Source organism: Homo sapiens, chromosome 2, assembly GCF_000001405.40.
Source record: "Homo sapiens chromosome 2, GRCh38.p14 Primary Assembly".
NCBI classification, from domain to species: domain Eukaryota; kingdom Metazoa; phylum Chordata; class Mammalia; order Primates; family Hominidae; genus Homo; species Homo sapiens.
The window spans coordinates 80,305,556-80,332,737 of NC_000002.12; the positions used below are offsets into that span (position 1 = coordinate 80,305,556).

At 40.1% G+C, this 27,182-nt stretch overlaps 1 protein-coding gene and 1 long non-coding RNA gene across 15 annotated transcripts in view, besides 1 other annotated feature; both read left to right on the top strand.

Moving 5' to 3' along the window:
• CTNNA2 (catenin alpha 2) overlaps window positions 1-27,182 on the top strand; it is a 1,463,404-nt gene that overhangs the window by 1,120,179 nt on the left and 316,043 nt on the right. The window contains exon 1 of one of the 14 annotated variants that reach the window (NM_001282599.2): window positions 7,824-8,099. The exons of the other annotated variants lie outside the window; for them this stretch is intronic. Within the exon in view, the coding sequence (NP_001269528.1) occupies window positions 8,007-8,099 (93 nt within the window). The 5' untranslated portion in view covers window positions 7,824-8,006. Of the gene's footprint in view, window positions 1-7,823; window positions 8,100-27,182 lie in introns of those variants that run through there. 14 annotated transcript variants of the gene reach the window in all.
• On the top strand, window positions 17,086-27,085 carry LOC107985904 (uncharacterized). The gene is made up of 2 exons (XR_001739570.1): window positions 17,086-17,395; window positions 21,478-27,085. It is a non-coding gene; the product is annotated as an uncharacterized LOC107985904 (long non-coding RNA).
• Window positions 24,517-25,019: an enhancer, noted in NCBI's record as "NANOG hESC enhancer chr2:80557197-80557699 (GRCh37/hg19 assembly coordinates)". NCBI's record gives its function as "activates a minimal SCP1, AML or CMV promoter by ChIP-STARR-seq in primed H9 embryonic stem cells {active_cell/tissue: H9 hESC(primed)}" and the evidence as "EXISTENCE:reporter gene assay evidence [ECO:0000049][PMID:30033119]".

Sequence of the window (27,182 nt, forward strand, 5' to 3'; positions counted from 1 at the left end):
GTCTCCATACACACATCCTAATTAATCTTTGAGACTGCACTAAGTTGTGCCACTTTTTCCTCTGAGTATGACGAGAAGCCTTTGCCTCATTATTTCTATTCATAATCATTTATAGATAGGAGTCCTTACAATGAGCTCTCCCCCCACCTCCCCACACACACACCTTGTGCCTACTGGTCTGTAGAGGGTCTGCCCTGGGGAGGGTCAGTTGGTCATCTGTTTAAACAAAGTCCTCCAAGATGGCTGAGAAAGCCTGCGGGAAGTGAGTGTGGGCAAGCCTTCCTTCTTGACAAAGATGCCCAGGGAGATGGTAGGGAGAGTCAAATGTGAGTCTCCAGCTCCACTGTTTGAATTCCCATCGTTTCTGCCTCTAAGGAAGTCAAAATCAGTAGGCATTATATGTAGTGGCACTTACTTTGATAGGAATGAGGGTGGATTACCAGAGCCAGGGTAGATAGACTGGACAAGTAACTGGATTGGTCCTTAGCATCTAAGCTGAAGAGGCCAACCAATGGAATCAAAGTCACCAAAGACTGGTGGTACTTTTCAGGAAAAGTCATATGAACAGGGGCATGAATCATTCCATTTTGTATTCATCTGAGCTCTGCCCTGGTCATTCATCTCTGAGATGTATCATTTAATTGGAAGGAACACAAATCTGAAATGTCCTAGACATCACATGCTGTCTTAGGAGTTAGAAGAGACATTAGAAAATCAACCCCCTTAATTTTGCACGTGACTAAACTGAGGCCAAGAGACATCATGGTTTATCCAAGGTCATACAGCTTGCAACTGGCACAGATGGTTTTTTCTTTCTTTCTTTCTTTTCTTTTCTTTTCTTTTCTTTTCTTTCTTTCTTTCTTTCTTTCTTTCTTTCTTTCTTTCTTTCTTTCTTTCTCTCTCTCTCTTTCTTTCTTTCTTAATTTGCCATTCTTGATGATTGCCTCTCTGTCACTCTTGCTGCCTACCTAACTCTGGATCAGGCATTTGCATGTTTCATCCTGGCACCTCCAAGGTGCTGCGGAACACTTTAACAGACAGACAAACAAATTCACCATCAAGTGGTTTCACCTCTTGCCAAGACAATTATTCGTGACAGCAGGCCAGCTGATGGAGCCATAAACTCTAAAGGGTTGGGAGGTGGGGGAGGGGTGTTGAGGAGGCACCCGCAGGGTTAAACAGCGGCCAGCCATTCAGCGAGTACTGTGAGTACACACCACCCAATCCCTAGGGTTGCTAGGAAAAAAAAAAATCCTCCTAATGCTGGCTGCTTGGCAAAGTGGTGACAGAGGCTGCCAAATGGGCAAGAAGAGGTCCCACTTTGGATGTCACTTGATTTGTAGAGCTGGTGCAGAGAGGCAGAAGAGTTGAGTGTTGGCAAGAAAGAAAGGGAATAAAATTAAATTCACTGATTTATATGTGAGTTTTCTTCTAAGTGTGCTACTCAAAACTTACAAGATGCTCCTAGGCTGTAATTAAAATAAATAAATTATATATATATATTATATATAAATATATATTTTCTATATATTGCTTTTTGCATTATTATCCTGCAAATCATTTCATCTATATGGTATCTTTAAGCCTTTCCCACCTCTAATGTGGCAAGTTTGCATCTTTTCTACAGTTTTAAACCCCTTGGCAGAACCGTATACATTAACAGATTGAAATGAGCTTTATTGAAATTTAGCTATTCTAAGTCATCTAAGTTGCAGAATCCCAATTTATTATGTATTTAAAGCATACCAGCACTGATTAAATCAATGCAAATTAGGTTAAATAAGAACAACATGAATCGAGTGTTTCAGCAAAGTTGAATCGAGAAACGACAACTTTTGAGTCACCACAGCAAGTCGATATGGCTGTTTTTCATGAGTTTTAATTTCATGCCTGTAAGTGTCCAATGAACTAAAAAAGGAAAAAAAGAAAAAAAAAGCTCACCTGAAGTTTTTTTTCTTTCCTCCTGCTTATTCTCTCATATGTCTGTACCTGTCTTTTGAAAATATCTGATTCACCAGGTTACAATGTAGCTATTGCATGTACTGGATCAATCTCTTCTTCCCGGGTGACCATAGATTTCTGTTGGCAAACTTCTTCTTCAAATGTTGTATATTGGATAAGAGATGCTTTATATGCTTTGAAAATACCCTTGACATTTTCCATGTTTGTCAGGGGAAGGAACCTGAGCTCATCTAGCTGAACCGCTATAGCTGCAAGTCTAGTACTAATAGTTGGGCATCAAGAATACCATCCCAAGCCATCATGCCAACATGTGATTGGGCACTGAGGCCAGACCTCCAGTTTGGGGTAAGAAATGATAAGAATCTTGAAAATATGGATTCAGCAAATGGGAAGGAAGTCTGGGTTATATGAGTTATGAATCTGATGGCCAAACATAATCTGGAACTAAGGGGAGGTAGAAGAGAGAAGCTCATGGAGCAAATTCGTTGTAGTTAGAGAGGCCAGAAGTATAGCTTGACGGAGGGAAGAGTCGATTAATTCCTTCTCTCTTCAACCTTGTAAATTAGCCTTTGCCTAATGAGCCCTCCTGTTTTTCGTGGTACTCTATGTTGTGAAGTGGAGTGGGGGAGTAACATACAATTTTTTTTTTGGTATGTCATTACTTCTGTTTTATCTCAACACTTCCAATTTGTTCATTTTAGTCAAAATAATTTGTGAACACAGAGGTGCAAGTGCAGAAAGTCTGAAATGAATCTGCATTCTGGGGATTGGCTTTCCATTAGCAATCTTTGTCAATGTTCAAGGAAGGAAATTTGAGTGATTATTTTAATGTTCTGTCATCGCTAGCACCAGCCTGGACCTTGATCTTTATGCTGTTGTCTTTAATTTTCAGTGGCAGCGAACCATGGCTTTTCTTTAAAAGGAAACCTTTAGAAGAATTGGCGGAGAGTGGGAGTCACAATTTCAAAAAGAGAGAATTAACTTTGTTGTTTCTGTGGGCACATACCATACAGCTGGCATTTTACAGAATGCTCAAAAGGTGCATGGAGAGGCTGAGGGTGGGGGCCCCAAGGCTGCTCTCAGGAGATCCACTTAGGAGAAACAAATTAGAAATTGAGGTCATTCTACTTATCAAACTTTGTCCAACTCTTAAAGCAACGTGGTAACATGGATAGCAATAAGAAACTAACTGCCATGCTCTATGAATGATGTAAATGATGAGAATAAATAATAAAAGAAATAATAAATGAATTAATAATAATAAATAGAAATGCAAGTTCTCCTGGGCATGGTGACTCATGCCTGTAATCCCAGCACTTTGGGAGGCTGAGGTGGGCAGATCATCTGAGGTCAGGAGTTTGAGGCCAGCCTGGCCAACATGGTGAAACCTGTGAAACCCCCTCTCTACTAAAACTACAAAAATTAGCCAGGCGTGGTGGTGGGTGCCTGTAATCCCAGCTACTCAGGAGGCTGAGGCAGGAGAATCACTTGAACCTGGGAGGTGGAGGTTGCAGTGAGCCGAGATCACGCCACTGCATTCCAGCCTGGACAACAGAGTGAGACTCTGTCTCAGAAAAAGGAAAAAAGAAAAAAAAGAGAGAGAGAGAGAGAAAGAAAAGAAAGAAATGCCAGTTCATGAGGCCTGTCCTCCCTCTCCACAGGTTTTCTCTATACTGGTGTAGAGAACATACTGGTGCTCTGATTATGCCATGTTATGCTTACCTATGTTTTTATATTCTCTCCATCTTTGCTTACCTTCATTTTAACTATCCTTCAAGGTTGATGGCAAATCTCCTCTATGATTTCTTAACTGACTCCGAGGCCCCTGCCCTCTATAAAGCAATCCCTTTTTCTTCTTCTGAACTCCATTAGCAGCTTACTTTTATCAATCTTGTGGTCCTGTTCACTTTATATGAGTGTGGCAATAATTTCTAATGATAGTATTTTAAAACTGAAAGGGACATTAAACATCTTGGAGATAAAGAATAAAAAGACCTTGTTGGGATTTCTGCTTTGCCACTTTTTAATCGGTATAACCCTATACAAGTCACTTCTTGGTCAGTGAAATAGGGCTAAGGATGGCTATCTCAGAGGATACTTGGGGTAATTAAATGAAATCATGTAAACTCTATAGAGTTTGTTCATTTAATTTTTGTCACTTCTGTGTTTCTCTATTTACATTTTTTTTTGTTTTTGAGACGGAGTCTCGCACGGTCACCCAGGCTGGAGTGCAGTGGCATGATCTCGGGTCACTGCAACCTCCTTCTCCCGGGTTCAAGTGATTATCCTGCCTCAGCCTCCCAAGTAGCTGGGATTACAGGCGCCCGCCACCACACCCAGCTACCACATCTCAAAAAAAAAAAAATGTAAATAGAGAAACACAGAAGTCACAAAGATTAAATGAACAAACTCTAATAGAGTTTGGCCACTCAAAAGTGTAGGCCTGAGACCACAAACCTTGGAGCTTATTAGAAATGTAGATTCTCAGGCCTCTCCCCAGACCCATGGAATCAAATCTGCATTTAACCATTAGCCCCAGGTAATTAAATTTTGAGATGCATTATTGGAACATTCACAAATTTTAACCTGAAATAAAAACCCAGATATCATTGATTCCCTAGTTTTGTAATTGAGAAGCTAAAGGGACAGAAATGTTAAGTGATTGCCCACCCTTGCTAGTGGAATTGGGTCCAAAAAAATAAAACTTTCTGAATAATGTGTTTTCTCTCCTATTAGATTTTAAACACTTAGAATGGAAAGTCTATGTGTACCACAGGCCTGAGCACTTAGCAGGGCTCTTAAAGTTTGATTTTGTAATTGGTACAGCAGGCAGTGTAGAGCCTTCATAGGTGCTAGCTTTAGGTATCTTTCAGCTGGTTTATTCCCATATTATCCTAGGAGATAATGGTATTCTGACATCTGGCATAAGACTTTGATTGCAGTCTTCCAAGGCAGGCAGAGTTGCATGGTAATTGATCCCATGGGGCAGCCCAACATGTTGCCCCTTCACACATACAATTTTGGAAGAGTCAAGACAGCAGGGACAAGTGAGGGGAGGTAAGTTGGAGGTGCATTAGGGTTGTCTTTCTGGGAAAAGCTTTGATGTTAACAGAGTTTGCTTACATTACTCCTCAGTTTTCTTATCACTGCCAATCTGCTACTATGGCATGTGTGTATTTCTCATGAATACTTTATTATAAAAAATGTACTTTGGGAGGCCGAGGCGGGTGGATCACTTGAGGTCAGGAGTTCTAGACCAGCCTGACCAACATGATGAAACCCTGTCTCTACTGAAAATACAAAAAATTAGCTGGGCCTGGTGACGGGCGCCTGTAATCCCAGCTACTTGGGAAGCTGAGGCAGGAGAATCACTTGAACCCGGGAGGCGGATGTTGCAGTGATCTGAGATCGCGCTACTGCACTCCAGCCTGGGTGACAGTGCGAGACTCCATCTCAAAAAAAAAAAAAAAAAATGTAAATAGAGAAACACAGAAGTGACAAAAATTAAATGAACATGAAGTCACCTAAAATTCAATCACCAGAGATGAACTATTAAGTTTTGGGTATACATTCTTTCAGAATTTGTCTGCTCTTATTTATTAATTAGGTTGTTTCTGGTTTTTAGTCATTATAAAATTTACTGTGATTAATATCCTTATACCTTTGAATATATGGGCGCCCATGCCTTTAAATGTTTATTCTAGAAGTGGAATTGGTGTTCAAAGGATGAGGATTTTAAAAAAACTATTAATACATAATGCCAAATTGTCATCCTGAAAGATTTCACACTTTTCATCCTCAATAGTTGCTTTGCTGCTTTCTCTTTGCCTTGAGAAACCCCCATGATACCATAAATTAAAACATGTTTTGGGGCCCCTCTCCTTCATCTGGCTGGGGCCCCGACCTGTATTTCTGTCTGCCTTTGTTTATTATGCCTTGGAATCATTCTTCCTCTTCACACCCATTTCCTCATTCCATCCTATGAAGGCAATTCCCACTTCAGAAAGAGGGCTGGCTTGGGGCCTTCAAGATTCCTTCTGGGAGTTTACGTGGACTTAATTCCTGCATCTTATTAAGTAGCTGGCCAGCCAAATTATTTTCACAAAGCCATTAATATCTGAAAATGGATTAATCCAGCATTACTTAAAATGCTCTACGAGGGTAAAAGTATTTAAATGCATTTGTGAAATGCACAAGGCTTTGTTCTGTTGTTCCTGTTTCACTCTCATAAGAAATCTCAGTCTCACAATCTCAGTTGTAAGAAATCTTGTTTTTCATGGTTTCAGCCATTTATTTGGGATTTCTATTAACACTAAACCAGAACAGTTTTGAAAACTTATTTAATTGCAGTTTATATTGCATTTGACTTTAAACTGGCTATCACTTTACCAAGACATTCCAAGGTTCAGATTTCAAGCATTATAGAAGAATGCTGGTGCAGGAACCTGTTTTATGTCATAATTTTATCAATTATGGGGGATACCTAGACAACTACAGTTCTTCTACTTGCTATTAGCAAATTTCACCTTCTCATCCTAGCCATAAATAAAGGAACTGTTAGAAATGCTTGTTCCTCATTGCCACAAAGAAATAGCATTCGAACATAAATTTGATTCTCTCAGCAAGGCAGTTTTTACTTTCTTCAGAAAGGGTGCTCATCGCAGATGGAACAATGGCCAGAGCACACCTGGACAGAGGAGGGGCAGGAGTTCTTACTCCTTACGCAGGTAGCCCCTACTGCTGTGTGGTTCCCCTATTGGCTAGGGTTGGACCGCACAGTCTAAGCTAATTCTGATGGGCTATTTAAAGAGGGCGGGGGTATGAGCCAGAGTAGCGGGGTGAGTAGTTGGTGGGGACAACGGTTAGAAACAGGTAACTAAAAGTGACTTAGGTCAGAGCAGGTGACCAAGGGTGACTCAGGTCAAAGCAGGTGACCAGAATGAGTCAGGACAGAGCAGATGACCAGGGGAACAGATGTGAACTACTGATTAGGACTAGTGGGAAAGTTGTTTACTGAAACTAGAAGCAAGTGGGCAAAGAGAACCAGGAAGTTAAACTTTAAAATGGAGAATCAAAGAATAAGAGAGCTGAACCTACTGACGTACTGATTTTGTGAAGAGAAACTTGGGGTTCAATATATTTAACAGAACCAATTTAATTCTATAGTAAGTTCTGTCTGCTCTGTCTCTGATATTCCTTGACACTTAATTATCTTGTTTTATAGAATTTTACAGATGTTGGAAATTTTGTCCTCACAGATAAAATGAAACTCTCTAAGAACAGACATATTACTTTCTCTGTGTTTTAGACCTTCTAATATCTACCTTTAAAGGGAGAAGAAGATCAGATGTGAGAGACCAGATATAGAGACATGAGAATTGCCACATAGCACTAGTAAATATGTTTTCTCTTCTCTTAGTGCAGTCTGCGTAGTTCTGGGTTTGTAAACACTCTCATTGAATTGAGTTTATTAACTAGTTTGAATGCTTGCCTAATCAATAGCCTGTGGAATCTAAATTAAATATAAAAACCTCTATATTACATTGACATATAGACACAAGCCATTAGCCCAGCAAAGCCAAAACTCTTGAGTTGAAGTCACACAGATTAATGCCTTTATGTGTGGCCTCCTGTTGCAGATCTATTAGTTGTAGGAAATCCCTCACCATCCATAAGCAACAGGTCTTCAGTGGTAAACTAACCTGCCTAGTTAGATGCATTTATCTCTTCATTCAAGCTGTCTCACTCCTCAATCTCTGACAAGAATCTTGAAAATGCCTTTCTAATTATTTAACATACGTGTTTGCTGCTATTCTTGTTTTTGTTCATTTGTTGTAAGTCAGATGGAATTTTACCCGATGAGAAGCAGAGTTAGATAAAATGTGGTGCCTACCCTGTGTGTTCACAGTTCTGGAGTGGAGATGATGAGTAACAAACCAATATTATTCATGCTATGGCAGAGATGTAAACAAGAGCTGTGGTTGAAGAGATTTTTCTAGCTAATTGAGCAAGACCAGGTAGAGGAAGGAAGACGAATTGACCAGATGGATGGATGGAGAAGGCCACTCCAGTCAGTAGGCAAAGTCTGTGAAAAAAATATGAAGACTTCTGAGATGCATACCATGTCTGGAGCACAGGTATGCAGGAGAAGGGGGTAAGAAAGGAGTGTGAATTTAGTGCCAGATTGGAAAGACTTTCAACTAGAAATATGATTTCCAAAATGTGAGTACAAGGAATATAATTCTGATGACTCCCTTGAACATGAATGGAGGAGAAAGGATACTGAAAGCAATGAGAGCAGTTGGCAGACTACCATATCTTCCCAAATGAGATACTATGTGGGCTATGTTCACATTACAAATGGGCAGGGCAGCAGGTGCAATAATAGCTCTGCAGTGGATTGACAAACTTTTAAGTGGTACTCTTTCCAAGAAAGGTGATTTCAATAGATGGATTGCTCTAGGGGAGAAGGGAGGCAAGGAAGAGTAGGATGTAAAAGCCAGCTAAGCTCACACTTGGAGCCAGGAGTGAGCAGTTGAAGATCTGAACAGACATTAGAGCTGCACATATAGATCAGGGAGTCCCTGGAATGTGCTTGGTGGCTATAGTGGTGGCAGTAGATGCAAATTCCAGAAAGAAAGATTAGAATACCAGCTGATGCACAATCAAAAGTTTTCACAGTCCAGTAAGGTAATATCTGGGGTAGCAGTTAGATGAGGAATAACAGGACCTTGTGTTACCTACAAAGTGCAGATTTTGATTAAAAGCATTCAAATTCTAATTTATTACAACTGAATTTTGTTAGTGAGCAAATGATATTGTGAACTGTATTCAGCTTAAGGAATACCAGTTTGCAGAGCCTCTAAGTGATGATTCTCAACAAGAAAGAATAGGATGGGGCGGAAGAAGTAGAGATCGCCTCAATAGGAAGGACAGTTTAGTAAAATTAGGAAACACTCCCCTAGTCCATAGCAAGCAGCCTTTAACATATAGGGATGGCCATGGGACTGTCATTATTATGAACTTCATGTGGCTGTGGAAGAGATAAAATATGGTTGATCCTGATAGATTTGGAGAGGACATTGGATGGTCAAGATCACCAACAATGGGGGAGGATGCCTGACCATGAGTGAAGCTGCAAAGGAAACGTGTAAGGATGATGCTGTCTGCCTCATGGTTCTATGTCAATGTCTAGCTGGTGTTGAGTGTATCATTTCTGAAGAGGGTTTGCCATTGGCATATCACATCAATGTAAGATTATTCCTTTGCGGATAGACCTTATATTCCTTCCTCAAACATGGAACAAGGTGATGGCTGGAGGTCATGTCCTTCAGAGGCAAATCTATATTTGCATTTTAGCAGAAGAATTTGAGACATCTAATAACATTGTGAAAAGCATTTTCAAATTTCTGACTTCGTATTAGCCTGAAAACTGTTCTGCCATTTAGAAGCTGTGTGATCTGGGCAAGTGACTTAACCCCTGAGCAGAAACATTCAACATAGTAAAACAAAGGAAAAATGAGTTGAATTATAAAAACAGAAAATAGTTAAAATGCTATTGCAATAACTACCTATATCAATTTCTACTATGCCAGGGCAAAAATCACACCCTATAGATTGAAGAAAAGGAGGGAAAATAATCATAAGCACAAATTGCATTGTGCCCAGTATCTCAGACTTTTGACTGCTCCCTCTTTAGATATCTGTTCCTACTTTAGAGGCTGCATAAAAAGCAAAATCAAAATGAAAAAGGCAGCAACAAACACTCCAAAACATGGTGGTTAAAACAACAATCACTTTATTTAGTTTCTGGCAATATGTGTTGGCTGAGTATAACTTCTGTGGGGACCAGGTTGACTGAAAGCTGTGGTGCTCGCTCAAGTGTCCATGATCAACTGGAAAATTAGCAGAAGACTGGACAATCCAGGATGGCTTCACTCACAGGGATGGCAATTGGCAGCCTGTTGGCTGGGACTCAACTAACTTTAGGTTAGGGTACCTGAGTTCTCTCCCGCATGTCGTCTCATCCTCCAGTAGGCTAGCTCTGGTGCAATCAGGTGGTGATTGTAGGGTTCCAAGAGCAGCAAAGGAGAAGTCCCAGTGCGCAAACACTTTTCAAGTCTCACCATTTGGCAAATTGCTGTTGTCTGTTAACTAAAGCCAATCACATGGTCAGTCTGAATCAAGGAGTGGAGAAATAGGCTCCACCTCTTGATGGGACGGGAAGAATTTATAGTTGTTTTTGCAGTTTAAGTACAGCAGCAGTGGTGGCTTAATATTATTACAACTCTAAGTATGAAATGCTTTAAAGTGATTTTTATTTCTCAAGCCATGTGACTCTAACAGTATCATCCATAAACACTGAGGACCAGCAGTGCAGGTATCACCTATGGCTTGTTAGAAATGCAGAATCTCAGGCCCCACCCAAGACCCACTGTAACAAATCGGAATCTACATTTTTCCAAGATCTCCAAGTGATTCATAAGCCCGCTAAGGTTTTAGAAGCACTGTATCTTTTTGCTGTTTCTCCTAAGTCCCTTTCTTAGAATTGCTATCTTCTCTTGTTGAGTGATAGATCTTTGATTTTTAAAGGTGCCAGAACTGTTTCCTTCTGCACAACTGAAACAGAACAAACACAGGTTTATACAGTAAAACAGGTTGCTTCACAGCGTGAATAGCTAGAGAGAGAGGATATAACATTTTTATGCTCAATTGTCCTGTGCCTTTTTTTTAATGGAAATTGAAAAATTAAGATAACAGTACATAAATATTTAAAAATACTGTATTTAACCAGGCAGCACCATTCAGATATTAGAGCAATTTTTAAAGAAGTAGAAACAGCTAGGCATGTACTTAAACTGACCTTTTCCATTTCTGAACCATTACTTAACTGGACCTTGATTTTCTGAAGGTTCAAAGATTGATTCTCCAACCTTTAGTCTGCAGTTTAAATATCTCTAGAACATGTGCAAGTCTCGGGATACTCTTTAAGATTTTATACAATTAATAAGACCAACACAATTTAAGCATCTGGCATGTGCCGGCTGCTGGTCTCCCCTAGTTTGTTTTTACCTTAAGTCTGAACAGAGAGAGAGAGGAAAAAGCAATTTTGCATTAAAACCGAATGCTGTTGTTTTGTGTGATGTTTGCTTGCCATATTCTCTTCTCAAAATGGGACAACTTCTTTGAAGCTATAACTGATGTTCTTTTAACTATATATGCTTTGAGGTCCTGTTCTTGTCAATCAGTTAGCCAGCCAATCAATAGTTAACAAATATCTATTGAGTACTTCACATATGCAGGCATATTCTAGGTCTGGGGATACAGTGGGGAACAAAACTGAGCAACTTGGTAAGCAAATAGATTAATAAGATAATTTTAGGTACTGATAAAGGGAAAATTAAAGAAGACCATCTGGAAGAGAGAAATTGAGGGACTGGACCTGCTTTATCTACGGGTAGGCAAGGCTTCCTTGAGGTGGTGGTATTTGAGTTGACACCTGAATGATGAGCAAGGGGAAGCCATTTAAAGTGCCATGAGATATGCATACCAAGCAGAGAGAACAGAAGGTGCCAAGGCCCAGACACTAAACCAGACCTGGTCCAAGAGACTGTAAAATGGCTAGTGTGCTCAAGTGAGTGAGACGGGGATGAAGAGATGGGAAGGAGGATTTTGAACACAGGATATGCTTTCTTAAAGAATCCATGCACATTTTTATAAATGTTGACAAACATTCACCAGCATCCTCATAACCTCCACTAGACCTTATAAAGTGATTGATTGCTCTGTCTCAGGCACTAAATTAAAGCACTTTAATATATTAATTCCATTTATTCATCAAAATTCTGTGAGATCCTTCCACTTTCAGAATATACAAAGGAAATCAAGGCACAGTAAACTTAAGCTACGTGCCTTAACACAGCTGGTATTGATGATATAAAGTGATTTTTCTGCATTCCCTACACCCTTTTATGGAACAATTAAGAGGGCTGGATACCAATCAACTTTTTAACTCTGTAAAAGCCAAACTTGACCCTTTTAAAATCTTCCTTTCCCCAGGTTTAGACCCAACAAGAGGCAGGATGGGGCAATTCAAACTTTCCTCCTGGATTCCCACTCCTCTCGGCCCCCTTCTACCATCTGTTGCTGTTTGCGTAGAAAAAGAACAGAACAGAATACCGACAACCACACACATTCAGAAATCTCGTTTTGTATGTGGGAGTCTGGCTTCATTAACAAGTTTCTCAAACTCTCCCTGCACTACAACACCAATCTAAACATAACTCATTGAAGTCATGGGAATAGGCAATCATCAGCTTCATGATGCTCAGATGTCAGTGTCCAGATACATCACCTGCTACTTCCTTGTAACCTGCTTCAAGCAGGTTGTTTTTCTCAAGAACCTCTAAATAAATGATGCCTATTTCCATATTCTCTAGCCTCTGCATTGTCACTCTGATTCTAACTCCTATTAAATTTCCACCTTCTTTCTAAGGGGTCCCATTCTCACTCCAGACTACCCCTCACCCCATCTACCCCTACAAATCCGTATGTCCACGTATTCACCCATCCATTCCTCAATCATGTAGTGGGTACTTACTCTGTTTTCTTAACTGTGCTAAGTGCTAAGCTATATAAAATATTTTAGATAATAGTCTTTTCTTTGAAGAGTTCACTCACTAGTAGGAGAATCATACTCCCAGAAGTCCATATTAATCCCCTCCTTCTTTGAGATGTTACTTATCTAAAATTAAGAGAGCATTTTAAGTAAATTTAAATTTACTGTATTAAATTGCTCTGTGTTTGTTTCTGTGTGCCCCTCCTCCCCTGTTTTCCTTTATGCCTTCTAGTTTGAAATTTCTCAAGAGCAAAGTCCAGGTTGTATTCCTGGTGTAGTGAAGATAGAGTTGGGATAGTTATGTTTAGGTTTGGGTTTTGCCACTTACTAGTAATTTAGGGGGTAAATTCCTTCTCTATATAAAGAGTGGGAGTTGGGTTTGAGAATTTCTAAGATCCCGTTGAGCTTTGACATTCATGGGTTTCATGGATTCGTGAATTCTAAAATACCTAACAAGGTCTGGAAAGTGAAGGAAACATGCAATACAAAACTTGTTTCAAAGGCGTTTATTTTTAACTTATTTATGTGGTGGGTGGTTTTCTAACTGAAATGTAACATTGTCCCTGGCTTATAGACTGAGACAGAGTAAATTTAAAAACAAACTATTGAAAAATCAGATTGGACCTTTTTTGTGAAGCTGGGCCTTTCAACAGAGTGTTAGGTTAGGATTCTTTCCAAGCCCGTAGAGCAATGCAGACAAGAGATAGTCCCTTGGTAAGCCAATTCTCTATTTCAGCCTTCTTAGGGTGCTACCCCTTACACTAGACAGTCAACATTGGCAGTATCAGAATGATCCTAGAAGAGGTTTTAGTGTATGTTGGAATAATCCATAACTGATAATTTTAAAAAGATAATATGCTAGTGGCTTATCTCTGTGCTTTAGAAGGTATTATCAAATAAAGATTCTCACCCTTTATCAAACCCCATCACAGATGGGAGCCTGGCCTGGTTGCAACTCTATTCAAATGGTCTTCTGAATTCCTTTGACCATATGCACAGGTTAACTATGTTCAGACAGTAATAACCCTATATGGGTAAGTACTCATTTTAGAAAAACATAATTTTCTAAAAGAATTTAAATTCATCAACTACTTTTAATATAATTGGTATTTGAAGGATGTCTACCAATTTGGAATATAATTACCTAGCAAGGGCTGATGGATACCAACCAGTTTTTTTTTGTTGTTGTTGTTTTTATTTCAAACAATTAAATAGTTGTTCAACAAAACGAGACTGGCATATTGCCAAACTGGCCACATCTCCAGACCCAAACAGGATTTGTTTCATTACATAATATGGCGAACAGTATATTTCTTCTGTAGTTGTTGTGAACATTGCAAAGGCTTTAGAAATCTTTCTGAGATCCAAGTATACCACTCAGGATATTATTCAACCAACATGGAGAACAAAGTACTGTTTACTTTGATGGTTTTTCTCTTTCAGAATCTCTAAGGGCTGAAAATGAAAAGCAATACTTTGTGACTTTGGTGATGTGGATGTAGTGAGACTGTATCTGGGTCTCCAGTTCCACAATTCTGCTTTTCACTCTGATTCTGTTCCCACCTAGCACCCCATCCCAGGTGTAATAAGAATTCTTGAGTCATAAAGTAAACTAGATGGCATTTACCACCCACCTAAATGAAGTGGTGTCAGGAGGGTTAAAATAAGACATATTCAAAAGTCCTCCAGAAATATTTGATGTTCTGTATAAAGACGGTAACCATTCACAGACTGAGCCTTTCTGTAAAAGTGAGAGTGTCTCTTCCTGCAGCCTGCTGGTAGGAAATGAGGCAAGGTTTTTTATCCAACTATTTTGGGAGCAGATAAGAGAGGAATGGAATGTTATAAAGTAATAATAAGAATGTCAGAGAATAATCTTGTTCTGATTCTGACATTTGGCGATTGCCTTCATTCTGGACATTATTTTTCATCCAGGTAATATTTTTAAACAACTCAACAATAAATGTAAAGTTACTGTTAGAACCTAAATTTCTTCATCTAAAAAACAGGATTAATAGTCTTGCCTCATAGCACAACTTTTAAGAAAATAAACATAAAGTGATACATACACAGTTGGTTTCACAGGTACATTCTGCAGCTATGAGATAATTTTATTGTTTTTGTCACTTTTGTAAGGACCACTTCTAAAATAGTAGATCTGCTTATAGCATTGCCATTTCTCCTTCTATTTGGCCAAATAAGCACATTTTCCCAAAGTGGGGATCTATATTAGAAAAAGCCTTAATGTTTAACCCACCTCTGCTTTTCTCTTCTGACTTCAGCAGCTCTTGTACCTATCTCTAGGATTGAGCCTTCACCTTCTCCGAATTGTGATACAGTCAGCTGCTCGCCTCATAGAGTAATTGGGTGAGGAACAGACCATTTGAATTCACCCCCCGATGATTGCCATGTGGAGAAACCCTTACTTTCATTTCTTGTTAAATATCAAGTGTGGGATGAAGAGAGGCAACCTTAAAAATTTACTTGATTAGACTTAGACTTAATTATTAATATTAGACTGAGTGATTAATATCTTGCCACTTTAGCATTATCATTTTTAAAGTAAATCACAGATCTCATACATAATATTTTACGCTTAAATATTTTATGTATATATTTTAAAAAGCTGTTTTTACATAACCACAATGCTGTCATTGCAGCCTAGCAAATTAATGACATTATTTAATGTTATCTGTATATATAGTCCATATTTAGATGTGTCCAATTATTTCTCAATTTTTTTAAAGTTGAATGAGTTTTAATGTGTAACCAAAATATGTCTCCACATTTCATTAGGGTGGTGATGTCTTTAAGTGGGGACAGAGAAGAAGAATAACTCTATTCAGTTAAGCAAATCAGTCCACCATAGTGTGCCAATATTAATGTTTATTCACATAATCAAATATTTACTAAAGTTTTTAAAATATGCTAGATGGCACAGATATTTGGATATAACTTTTTTGACATGATAGGTTCTCTGACATGCCCACCTGTAAAAATGACTGAAAGAAATGATATAAGAAAAGTTAATTATGGATATAACATGGAAGAACTTGATAAACCCTCAAGTAAATATTTAGTGTATAGATTATAATAGAAAGGCCTCCTGGAAAAAAAAAGGAAATTGGAGAGGCTTTGGAGGTTTCATTGGGAGGGTTTAGAGATTTTCTATCGTAGGGAGATGGCACTAGGAAAAGGGTATTAAGATCCAGGCTTGACTGGTGGTGAGGATGTTCTGGACGAAGTCTAACTGGTAGGAACAGAAACACTCCCAGTACAGTGTATATTGAACGGAGTACAGATGCTGGGGGAAGTACGCATTGAGATGAAGTGAAAGAAGTAGGTTAGAGCTAGTGATTTGTCTTGAATCTGTTATTTCTTTATTGAACAGCATATTTTAAAATAATTTGTGGTGTATGAATTCATAAAATGTATGCAAATGAACTACAACCAGGAAAATTGTGGAATAAATCTTTTTTTTAAAAGCCTACCATGGTGGGCTTAAACAATCTGTCTTTTCTGATATATCAAAAAAGTCTGTATATGCTACAACCAGTTAGTTGTGGCAAGGTTTCGTTTTTGTGAATGCATGCACGCATGTACTTGTGGGCTCTGATGAATGAGAAATGCTAAATCACCAGTAATGGGAAATGTTAATGTAAATTGAGTTTTTACTGTGACTATGTTTAATCAATACCTTATTTCTGCTAACATGTTTTGCGAGGCTGGCTCTGGCATGGTAGGTAATCTATACTCTAGGAAAAGCTATAGCCCTTCTGAAGATTCTCTGTATTTTATTTATTTATTTATTTATTTATTTTAAAAAGGTGTATTAGGTTTCAGGGTAGAGTGGTTATTCCTCCTGCTGAGGAAGCAACAACAGAACAAAACATCATTTTAAATGTGGGTGTATTTTTTAAGATGAGGTTTGAGACATTCCTGGTATGTGTAGAATTTCATAGAACTACTTTATCAAAACATTTAGCTCACTTTTTTTCTTTCTAGAGAGCAAATTAATTACCATCTGATAAGCATGCTTAACTTTCTTCTTTCTAGTCTACTACCAGGCTTTTATTAGTTGGAGCCACTAAAGCAAACTCAATATACGTCACTGTCAATAAAATGCCCAGTGATTAAAACTAGGTAATACAGTGTCTTCCCTAAGCCCCTCATTTTATGTAGCGTGAAAACAGACCCATGAATGGGTGTAGATGTGCTGAACTGGAGAGAAATTGTGCCTTCCTCAGCTCACTCTGCACGGAGCCACTTCCCTGAAAGCCAGTGAACCTATTTACCATTGTCATAGTAACACACAATTCGGGCCCACGTAGACTTAATCCCGAGAGGCAATTGTTCCCTTGCTTGGGCGGCTACGCTCCCCGCGGGGCTGCCTGCAGCCCCCGGGCCCTTGCAGCTCCGGGACGGCGCGCGGCGGCGGAGGCCGCGGGGCCCCAAGCGCCAGCCTGGCCCCGGCGCAGATGCGCTGCCCCGGCCGCAGCCCAGCCGCCGCGTGTGTTGTCAGGACGATCGGAAACGCGTGTGTGGGGAGATGGGTGCCAGTGTCGCCTTGTCCATTATCCAAAACCCAGTCGCTTTTGCTGGTTCCTCACTCAGCATGTGAGAGAGATTGTCTTCTCACTCGGTGCCACTCGGGGGCCATACTCCAAAATCAACCAGGGGCTGCCTCGGCATCCAAGACGTTTCGGGCCAGGCGAGGCTGTTTCCCTAACCTGTGCCATGGGCAAAAGAGAACGCCGCCTTCCCATGCAGTTCCCTTTGTAGCCCACCCCTTGCCATTCCAGGCATCACTGAAGGGTATGTAATTTGGGAACAGGCAAAAGGGAGAACGGGTATTAACCGGAGAGGAACTCTAGTTCTTGAAGATGAGCCATATTCTTGAAGAGAAGTGCGTGCCCTGTCGTGGTCCCCCAGGTGCCCTGTCTCTGAGGAGTGACCAGGGTCAGTGCTGGCACCGGCTCTGTCACTGCACACTGGTCGCACCTTTCTTCTCTTCTGCTTTTCGTGTAGCTCAGTGGGGTTCCCAAATCACAGCACATAGCAGCCGCTGGCGAGAGCTTTTGGTTTTGACTTGTTAGACACGGGTTAGAACTCCAAGCTTCTGATGTAATAGGGCTCCGAACAGGCCTGGGAATCTGCGTTTTGAGGCGGTCTCCCTAGGTGGTTCTGATATGCATCCAGATGTGAGAATCATCGCCAAGATCTCCTTTCTTTCTTCCCCTTCATTTCTAGCTTTTCCTCTTCTCTCTTTCCTCCTTGCTTGCCTGCTGTCTCACAAATACAACTCCTCTTTTATTTTCCCATGTATTTTCCTCCCTCCCCCAACGTTTTAAGCATCTGTTGTGTGTCAGGCACTGTCCTAGATGCTTGGAAGGTTATGATCTCTGCCTCTATGCAGCATCTGTGGTTTCTTATTGACCTTCTCTCTTGCCAGCTCCTCTTCTCTTTCTCTCTGTACTTTCATCCTCTCATTTTCTTAATCACGTTCTTTGTGTTTCTTCTTTTCTTTCTTTTTCTCCTCCTCCTCCTCCTCCTTCTTTTTCTATTAGTGAATCCATATGTATTTTTAGCACCATGAATATCAGGATTTAAAAGTTTCTAGCATCTGCCTGGGTTTCAAGCCACAAATTCCTCCCATCATAGCTTACAGGACTCCTAGACCACTAGGGGTGGGTGGAGCAGGATATTCCACCCTAACTCTTTACAAGGAATTTGCCTTTTCTAGAGTTCAGTATGAAAAAACAAGTCAGGTTACTCTCAGCTAACATTAGTGGTATTTCAGTTTTCATAATGTTTAATGACCTCTTTAAGCTTCCCTTAAAGCTGCAATTAAAGATTGCCCTTCAGTCAAAAGAAAAGCATGTAAAAATGGGGCTTGCATCAAGAGAGAAAAAAACAAATAACCTCTCTGAATTAATCCTCCCCCTACCCCCCATTATTCAGGCTGCTGTTTTACACAAAGACACTCTTTTGAGCATGAAAAATATGAATTGTTACAAATTTACCTGTTCTAAAGTTTCAATTAAAGCTAAGTGACACATGAATATGAAGACTGTCAGAACCTCTCCAAAGTTAGGTGATTTGCTTTGCTTTGAAGGGGGTCGACAAAGGGGCTCTCTTGGATCCTCGTGGGCCGCTGCTCGCAGTGTGAGGCACTTTCACGACTCTCAGAGTCAAGTCATAGGCGAAGTCAGGACATTCTGCTTCCATGCTGAGCTCATTTCTTCAGCTTTCCTGTGGATTTGAGGTCGAGGGCTGCAATCATCATGACCTCTGATCGTCTCGGGGTTAAGCCCCTACTTAAACTATTAACTAACTTAAAGATTTCATGTACAACACAATCAGCCAGCAGCTATTTATTAAAAAGCCTTTCATGTAAAAAGGTTTGGAGGACCTAGGAATTGTGAGAAATGTTTAAAAGGTGAGATGTTAATTCTTGGATGTGGGGGAGACTGATTTACATGAAAAGAGAACTAAATTCTTAGCTTCAAGTGATTTCCCAGAATGCTTGGAATAAAATACTCCTTTTTTGGCGTGACCTTGAGACTCCAAATCATCTGGACCTTGACCACCTCCCTCCCCTCATCTTGCTGTTACTATGTCTCTTATTGGTTTTATTCCAGACACACTCTTTCCTTTGATCTCCCCCATGCGGGATCTGTTTTATGAATGCCCTTCCTCCCATCTTTGCATAGCCATCTCCTTTTCGTCACTCAAGTTTCAATTTAGAATCACTGCCTCAGAGAACTCTTCCCTGACCACTCCATCTAAAGAAGGCATCAGATCATTATCATAGCACCTGCTTTCATGTTCTGCCATGGCACATATTACTACTGGATATTATGTTCCTATGTATGTATATTTCTCTCTCTTCCCCACTAAAATATAAGCTTCATGAGAACAGGGGTTTCAATGCTTCTGTCCCACCTAGAAGAATGCAAGGCATTAAAAATATGTTCATTAAATATATGTCAAATGAATAAATGAATGAAAGACTATGTCACTTGCCAAGTGAGGTTTTTCAGACATTGAACACTAGTGTTTCTAGAAGAGGGAAGAATCACTCTAGGCTGAAGGGGAGAAGAATTGATTAGAGAGGAGGAGATACCTGACTTGGATACTGTAGATTTGCAGGATTTATAGCTATGGAAAGAAGGATGATGAGTTTCTTTCAGGTAAGGAAGTATTTGGCAATTAAATGATCTAATCCATTTTGGCACCAAACCAGACATTCAAGTATAGGTGAATCCTTTAACCTTAGTCTCCACTTTTGGTCTTGGAGGCAAAACTACTTGCCATTCTAAAGTAGAGGTAAATCTACTTGCCATTCTAAATCTGTGGTTCTTAAAGCTGTTTTTTGTTTTGTATTTTTCCTGATCAGAGAACTTTGTTATGTCACTCACCATAACAAAAGCAGCATCAGAGAAATCTTGTTTAAATAACTGCCTCTTTCTCTACAATATGAGAAGGGGGAAAACATTTTTTCCCTTCACTGGCAAAGAAGATGGTTATGGCTGATTAATCAGGCCATTAGATACAGTTTTGCTGCATTCAGTAGAAGCCATGATGAGAATTTAGCTTGAATATTCATGTTATAAGTGCTACATGAGTTTGGAATGCTTATAGATTTGCAAAATTTGAGAGCTAAAAAGGACCTTAGAGATCACTGAGATTCTGCAGCCCATCCTCCCTAGCATTTATCATTTTACAGCTTAAAATGCCAGGACCCAGAGTAGTAAAGTGATTGGTTTATGGTTACATTGGTAGCTGGTGGGCAAACAGATTATCAACCCCACCCTTGTGATTCTCCGTCCAGCGGTCTTTTTATTGAACCTTAGTGAGCTTCATGCATTTGGTCATGTTACATAAGCAGAAAGAAAATCTGGAAGCAATGACTAGGCATACTCATAGAAGAAACCCCATCATCATTTTCAAAGTCGCAGTGGTGAAAGTGAGAAATACATATTGAGGGAACTTGCTGGCATTTGAAAGGGAATAAAGCAGTATTTGTAAGCCCTTCTAAGAGTAGGTAGAGTACAAATTAGGGAAAGTGGATGCTATTGTTTTACTACCTCTATATATTTTCTACATTATCCAAAAACTGCCATGCTGAAATAATAACACACTGCTATAATTTTGTATCATTTAACTGGCAGTACACAGTACATGGAGATTTATTATTTTTACTAATGAGTTTAGCTTTGCTGTTGCAAATAGTGTCAAATGTCATTCTTTTCATCCTCCAGCAGATGGCAACTCTAGTCTTCTTGTCATTTTATCTATTTCTATACTTAGAAGATGTTGTCCTCTGCCATCCCTGCCCCCCTTGCCTCTCCCTGAGAAGTTCATCTTTATGTACTGCTCAGGGTGATATGGGTAAGTGGATCCATCCCTCTGCCAATGGAATCAACTCCATTAGCATCTGACTGTGAAGGCCAATCTAAGTGTGCCTAGAAATAACAAAATCACAAATTAGCCAATAGTTCTAATTTTTTTTTAAAAAAAGAGAGGGGGAGAAGATAGAGATTCTAAAATAAGATGTACCACAGAAAACTTTCCATTTAAGGAAAAAAATCTTCAAAAGAAACAAAATGTCAGTTTCTCCAGCTCTAGCTTTAAAGGAAGATGGGTTTGATTAGATTATCTGAGTTACTGGCTAAAAAAAAAGAGCAGTGTCAGATTTCTCATACACTGTGATTTTTGGTCTCTCTGCTGTCTCTTCTCTTCCATCCCTCCTTCCCTTTTACACACTTTTTCTCAGTTGTCAAAAGTACTGTGCCTAGCCCCCTAATTTATTTGCTTTTTAGAAACCTGGTTTCTCTCTCTAGGTGTGTTCCTAAGGCACTACCGCTGATGACATTTATTTTCTCTCCTCCCAGTCTTTGCTCCCACCACTCCCACCCCTTCTCCTACCAGCTAGATCCTCATAACTCCTACAGGATTGCAGAAGTTCAAACACATGCTGTTCTCTGAGTGTAACTCTGAGGGCAGCTGTAAGAAATCAACAGAAAAGAATAGCTGCTACTCTTTTATTAAAGGAAAAGTTAATGATCACAGGCATGAGCAAGTGGATTCTGTCACCAATTCCTCATTGTAAGGCTTCCTACAGATTTGCAAACAGATCTCCTGCCTAGAGGCACTTGCTTGCATCAGGAAGGCCTGAGCAGGGACATGGGACGGACACAGGATGGGAATGGATTTGGTGGTCTGCAAATGCTACGTGGAGGGAACTCTTGCTAACTCATCCTGTTCCAAAGAACCTAACCATCATGTCTTCTTCAAAGTTGAAGAGCTGTTACCTTGATATACCAACAACTAGACAGAGGCTAAAGTGTGGAGCAAGGAAACAGTAACAGTAACATACCTCTTATTTAAGACAAAAAAAAAAGCAAAGTTGGCTTTAGTGAGTATGAGTTTCTTGATTATTACTGTCATCATGTGAAAATGTGAGCTGACGCTGCAAATACAATCCTTGGAAACAACGAGGACGTGTGGAAATCTAAGTATGTTATCATTCACTGACAACCACTAATGAAGACAGGGGAGCTTACTTCAAACCCACAAATAATTAGCACTGACAATAGAAGTATAAACAGAGCTTTATTTAATTAATTCCCTAATTGTTCTTTCCTGCTTTACTATCTGCACCCCTGCTTTGACTTTAGATATAACATATGCCCAAGACTTCCTTCTTTCAACTTTGTGATAATCATGTATCCGTTTGCTCAGTGTGGGAAACCATCTGAGCTAGAATTCCTTTCCCTGCTTTATATGTATAAATGTTTTTTTATTTTTTATGTTACTTTCTCTGTTTTCCCACAATTCGGATGCCTGGAAATGTTGACTTATTAACATGGATGGCTTATCTAGCACTCTGTTAGATGTATTTCACAGTTAATATGAAATGAGAAGTGAACAGTTGATGATTCTGGAGTGATGAGGAGAGCTCTCTGGATTCTCCATTCTGTTCTTTACAGCAACAAACTCTTTGTCCCTGTCTCCTCGCTCACCCACATTCTAATCCCAGCAATCAGAGAGCAGATGGACTGCTTTTTTGGGTTTTGTCATTATCTGTCTTTGTCAGGGAAGCATGATCAGTTCCTCATTAAAGGGCCGATAACAACTCCTTCTTTGCTCTGTCCTGAATGAGGAAGCTGCATTGGAACCTTTCATGTGGTGACTTCAAGTTGTGTGAGGTAAAAAGGCATGTTTGTGTGTGGCAGGAAAGTGACTCTCCATAGGGGAATGGCTAGGCTGAGGGGCCAGACTGAGGGACCTACTGAGAGGAAGGACAGTGTAGAGGGGAATAGATTTGGAGCAGTCATCTGGAGCAGCAGGTAGTCCAGAGAGTCAGCCCTAGTGGCTGGAGTGGGTCAGCCCTGATCCTCTTACAGAGACTGTAGACTCTTTCTCAAGTGGCTTTGCTGGTTATGGGCAGCCTCAGCTCACAAAAGTTGATTACAGCCAGAAGTTAAATCAGAGGCTGCTTAGGAATCTTGCCTGTGAAAAGGGCTAAATGGTGTGTGAATGTATTTGTGCATGTTGTGTATGTTTGATGACAGTCATGCTTCCATTATTGACAGGATATGTTCTGAGAAATGCGTTTTCATTGTTGGTCGAACATCGTAGAATGTACTTATACAAACCTAGATGGTATGTATTTTTTTATTTATATACATTTTTCATATGGAAAACTAAATGTCCCAGCACCATTACGGAATATAAGTCATTTTCGCTACTTGATCTGCAATGCCAATATGAAGGACCATGTATCAGGTTTCTATATATGTTCCATTACAGTCTTATGGGATTATGGTCATATATGCAGTCCACCATTGGCCAAAATGCCATTATGGAGTGTCATTATGACTGTATAAGTTTATATGTAAGTTTGTACAGTGCAGTTGGTATTCCTTTTGATTACTTTTTGTATAATATTTACTAAAAATATTTGCAGAAAGTTCCCGAGAATCACACAAACTCTGTTTGCCCCTGTCCATGTGATGTGAAGCAGGTATCAGCTGACTTCCTTTCAACCTTTATTTGATTGGTATTTGCTGGATCATTTGGGTGAATAACCAGCCTGGTGTTCATGGAAAAATATGCAACAAGGAGTTCCTGCTTGGAGAAGTAATGTTTTGTTTGAGGAAACAAGATGTCTGTTATAAACACTTAGAGAAAATTCTCATATTATGTAGAAGTAAATGAAACAGTGTGGTAAAGACTGAGAGGAGATGGAGAATGATCCCATTGCACCAGGTTGCTCTCATTTTCTCTCTCTTAATGAATGGAAAGGTTGTATAGATTATTTCAGACTTAAAGAATGTGTAGTTTTGGTCAAAGAGCAGACACATGGGAATAAGGAAGTCATCCTGTGGTCACAGAGGATGTAGGGAACAGGTTGGCCAGACTGAAACGGAAGGGCTGTGTTAGGATGCGGTGGGAAGTAAGGAGAATACCTACCTTAACAAGTCAGGACAGGGTGTGCCTCCAGATACATTTGCACTTCCCTCCTGAGAGCTTTTCTTTGTCCTGAATGAGGAAGCAACATTGGAACCTTTGATGTGGTGACTTCAAGTTGTGTGAGGTAAAAGGGCATGTTTGTGTGCGGCAGGAAAGTGACTGTCCATAGGGGAATGGCTCAGTATGTATGTTCCCTAGCCACAAGCTTCGGTTTTGTATTCGACTGTACCTGCCTAGATATAGATCCACTCTGGAAACCCAGGGAAACTTTTCAATCTTCTTGTTAAAGCTGAGGATTGATTAGCAAGCATGACCTCCCACCTGTTATAACTGGCTTATGGCTCTTCCGAAGTACCCACTGGCATTTTCAAGGTGCCCTGCACCCCTTCCTGCCATGTCCTTCTATGGAACACTTCCTTCAACTCCTTGAGTCTGGTCCCTTCCTACCAGAACCAAATAATTGTCAAACTTCTTCATTTGTTTGGATTTTCCACTCTAAGCTCTTCTTCTGGCCTTTCCACCAGTGGTCTTACACTAGCAGTTAATTTGCTCGGAATTCATTGTGGAGCTATCTTGTGCCAAGCAAGGTGCCAAAGGTTTTACATATGTTCACTTTCTTAGTCTTCCTAATAATCCTTTAAAGTGGATCTACTTAACAGTACCTGCTGAGCGTCAATTACATGACAAAGCATTTGGGGATAAAACAGGAAAAAATAAAGGCAGAGGCCATGCCCACAGATAACTTGTACTTAGCTAAGAGACTACTTCTAGTGGGAGAGATTAAGCCCTGAGGAGGTTATAAGATTTGTCCTGGATCTGAAATTTGAATCTAGGTCTTTCTGACCCCAAAGTCATTAATTTCCCAACTGCATCTACTTTTTTCTTTTTTTTTTTTTGCAATTGAAATTAATTTAAAATAAATTATTCTTAGCCATTGTTCATTTGAAGGCAAGCTGACAATCAGGCCGTTTAAGCCAGAGTGAGTCTTATGTGACAAATTATCACATAAAGTAATGAAGTCTTTTCTGGACTCTATGCTCTGCTGTGGGTGGAGTGTTAAGCCCTTCAGAAGCTGCCTTCCAGGGTCTCCACAGGTCCAGGGGTCCATTGCCACCAAGAGTCTTGTTGTTCATTATTGCGTTTACTACTATAGCAACGGCTCCACCAGTGTCTTTATTAAAACTTGCTCCAGGCTAGAATTTTCCCCCGGGGTCAGTAATGAGTTTAGAGGAATGGATGTGGAAATGAGATTTGTTCTCACCAGTGGAGTGAATTATGTCTTGTTGGGGCCCCCAGGCTAATATTTCAGATTTGCCACAAGGTACTTCATCAAAAATTCTATTTTGGTTCCAAAAGGACCATGCATGCCTATTAGCAAATTCAGAGCATGCCTTTAAACTGTATGTTTTTTTTTTTTTTTTTTCCTTCCCCGGCTGCATCCACTAAAGGCTTTCAGAATTAGCAGTTTGTGAGAACAGTCCATTTCCACGGGCCAGTGAATGGTGCAAAGAAGAAGTGCAGCCCTTTTATCTAACAAGGCTGAGTCTGCCATAACTGAGGTGAATCAAAGGCAGAGCAGCCACGACTGTGTCAGCACATTAGGTATTCGTTATCACATCGGGCATGCGGTACCACGCCAGACATACTCATGTGGCAGGATTTGTGTTTGCTGTCTCTCAAATTCTCTTGCCTCCGTTTGATTGCCAGGGCTCATTTTAATGCCATCCAAGCGTATGGGTTTAAATACTCTCCAATTCAGCCTGGTGTGTTTGACATCTAGTTCAACATTCCAAAGAAACTGATTGCAGAGATAAGTCGATTGGGAAATAGGGTTGCACATCAAAGCACTACCTTTCCAGTAACAGAGATGCTCAGAAGGCCTAGCTTATTGGAGAGGACCATAATTGCTGGTTGTCTTTACAAGTGTTCTCTGTGGTGGGAAATGGGGAGAAAGCATCTCTTGCATGATGCCCACTATGCTCACATCCTCTCTCCCTCCCTTCACTACTTCTGCTATCTCCCAGATAAAGGGTTATATTCCCGAGCAATGATGACCAACTACTTTTCGCTAGCAAAAACCAAAAGGGCAGGGTGATCTCCACCCGATGACAGATAAAAGATGGATTGGCTTGAGAAAAGAGTGAGGGTCCCCACTTTTTCTTCCCAATCCCCATTACATTCATAGCCTTAAGAACTGCTCCCCTCCAGAATCTTGGCTATGATTGTCATAACTTACACCTTGTCTCGATCTGGGAAAAAATAATAAAATGACTCCATTGATGCTACTCCAATCCTTCTGCTTGTTGTGTCAAATTTTCTTTCATTTTGTAAGCTGTGCATTTGGGCAGATGCTATCCTCCACTGGAGGTACCATTCCCGTGCAGGAGTAAGGTTTCTGTTGGACAGGAGTCCTCTTGGCAGAACACATTTAATGGAGTGCCTTTTAGTGAGGGTCTCCAGCCTTGGTCTAATTGCTCTATAATGAAACAAGCAGGAATGACACTGTCCTTCTCACTTACATGTCTTAGTTTACTTTTGGAAATTATTGTGTGCATTGAACAGTGTTTCTCCTTAAACAAACAAACTCACTCACTGTTTCTATGACCAGTGTAGAGTTCCAGATACTGTTGAACAGGCATTACTATATTAAGTCCTGTGCACATCATCAGCACTGTAAATTGGCCCTCACCTCCCATGAAGCTGGCAGCCTCTGGATCTTTGGGTTGTCTGTTTTTACTGGCTGTTAATTGTTAATAGATTTTCAGGTGTAGGTCATGCTGTGTAGGCATCAATCCTTAATTTAGGAAGGTCTGCGGCTGTCCATGATTGTGAAAAGGCAAGTGATAAACAAAAACTGGAGAAATCTCAGCATCCTCACTAAAAATGTCAAGCCCAGTAATGCTTCTGGTAGCAAAAGCAAAATTTATTAGTGAGAGAACAAACTTGCCTAATAAAAAAGGAGAGTTAAAGAGGGAAAGCAGAGAAGGAAGGAAGGCCCCAGAAGAAGGTTGACGAAAGAGAAAACATTTAAGAAATCAAAGCCATTTTAGAAAGACGAGTTAGAGAGCAGGCATGGTATGATCTTAGATATCTTCCTTGTTCTTGAGACAAGAAGAAAAGG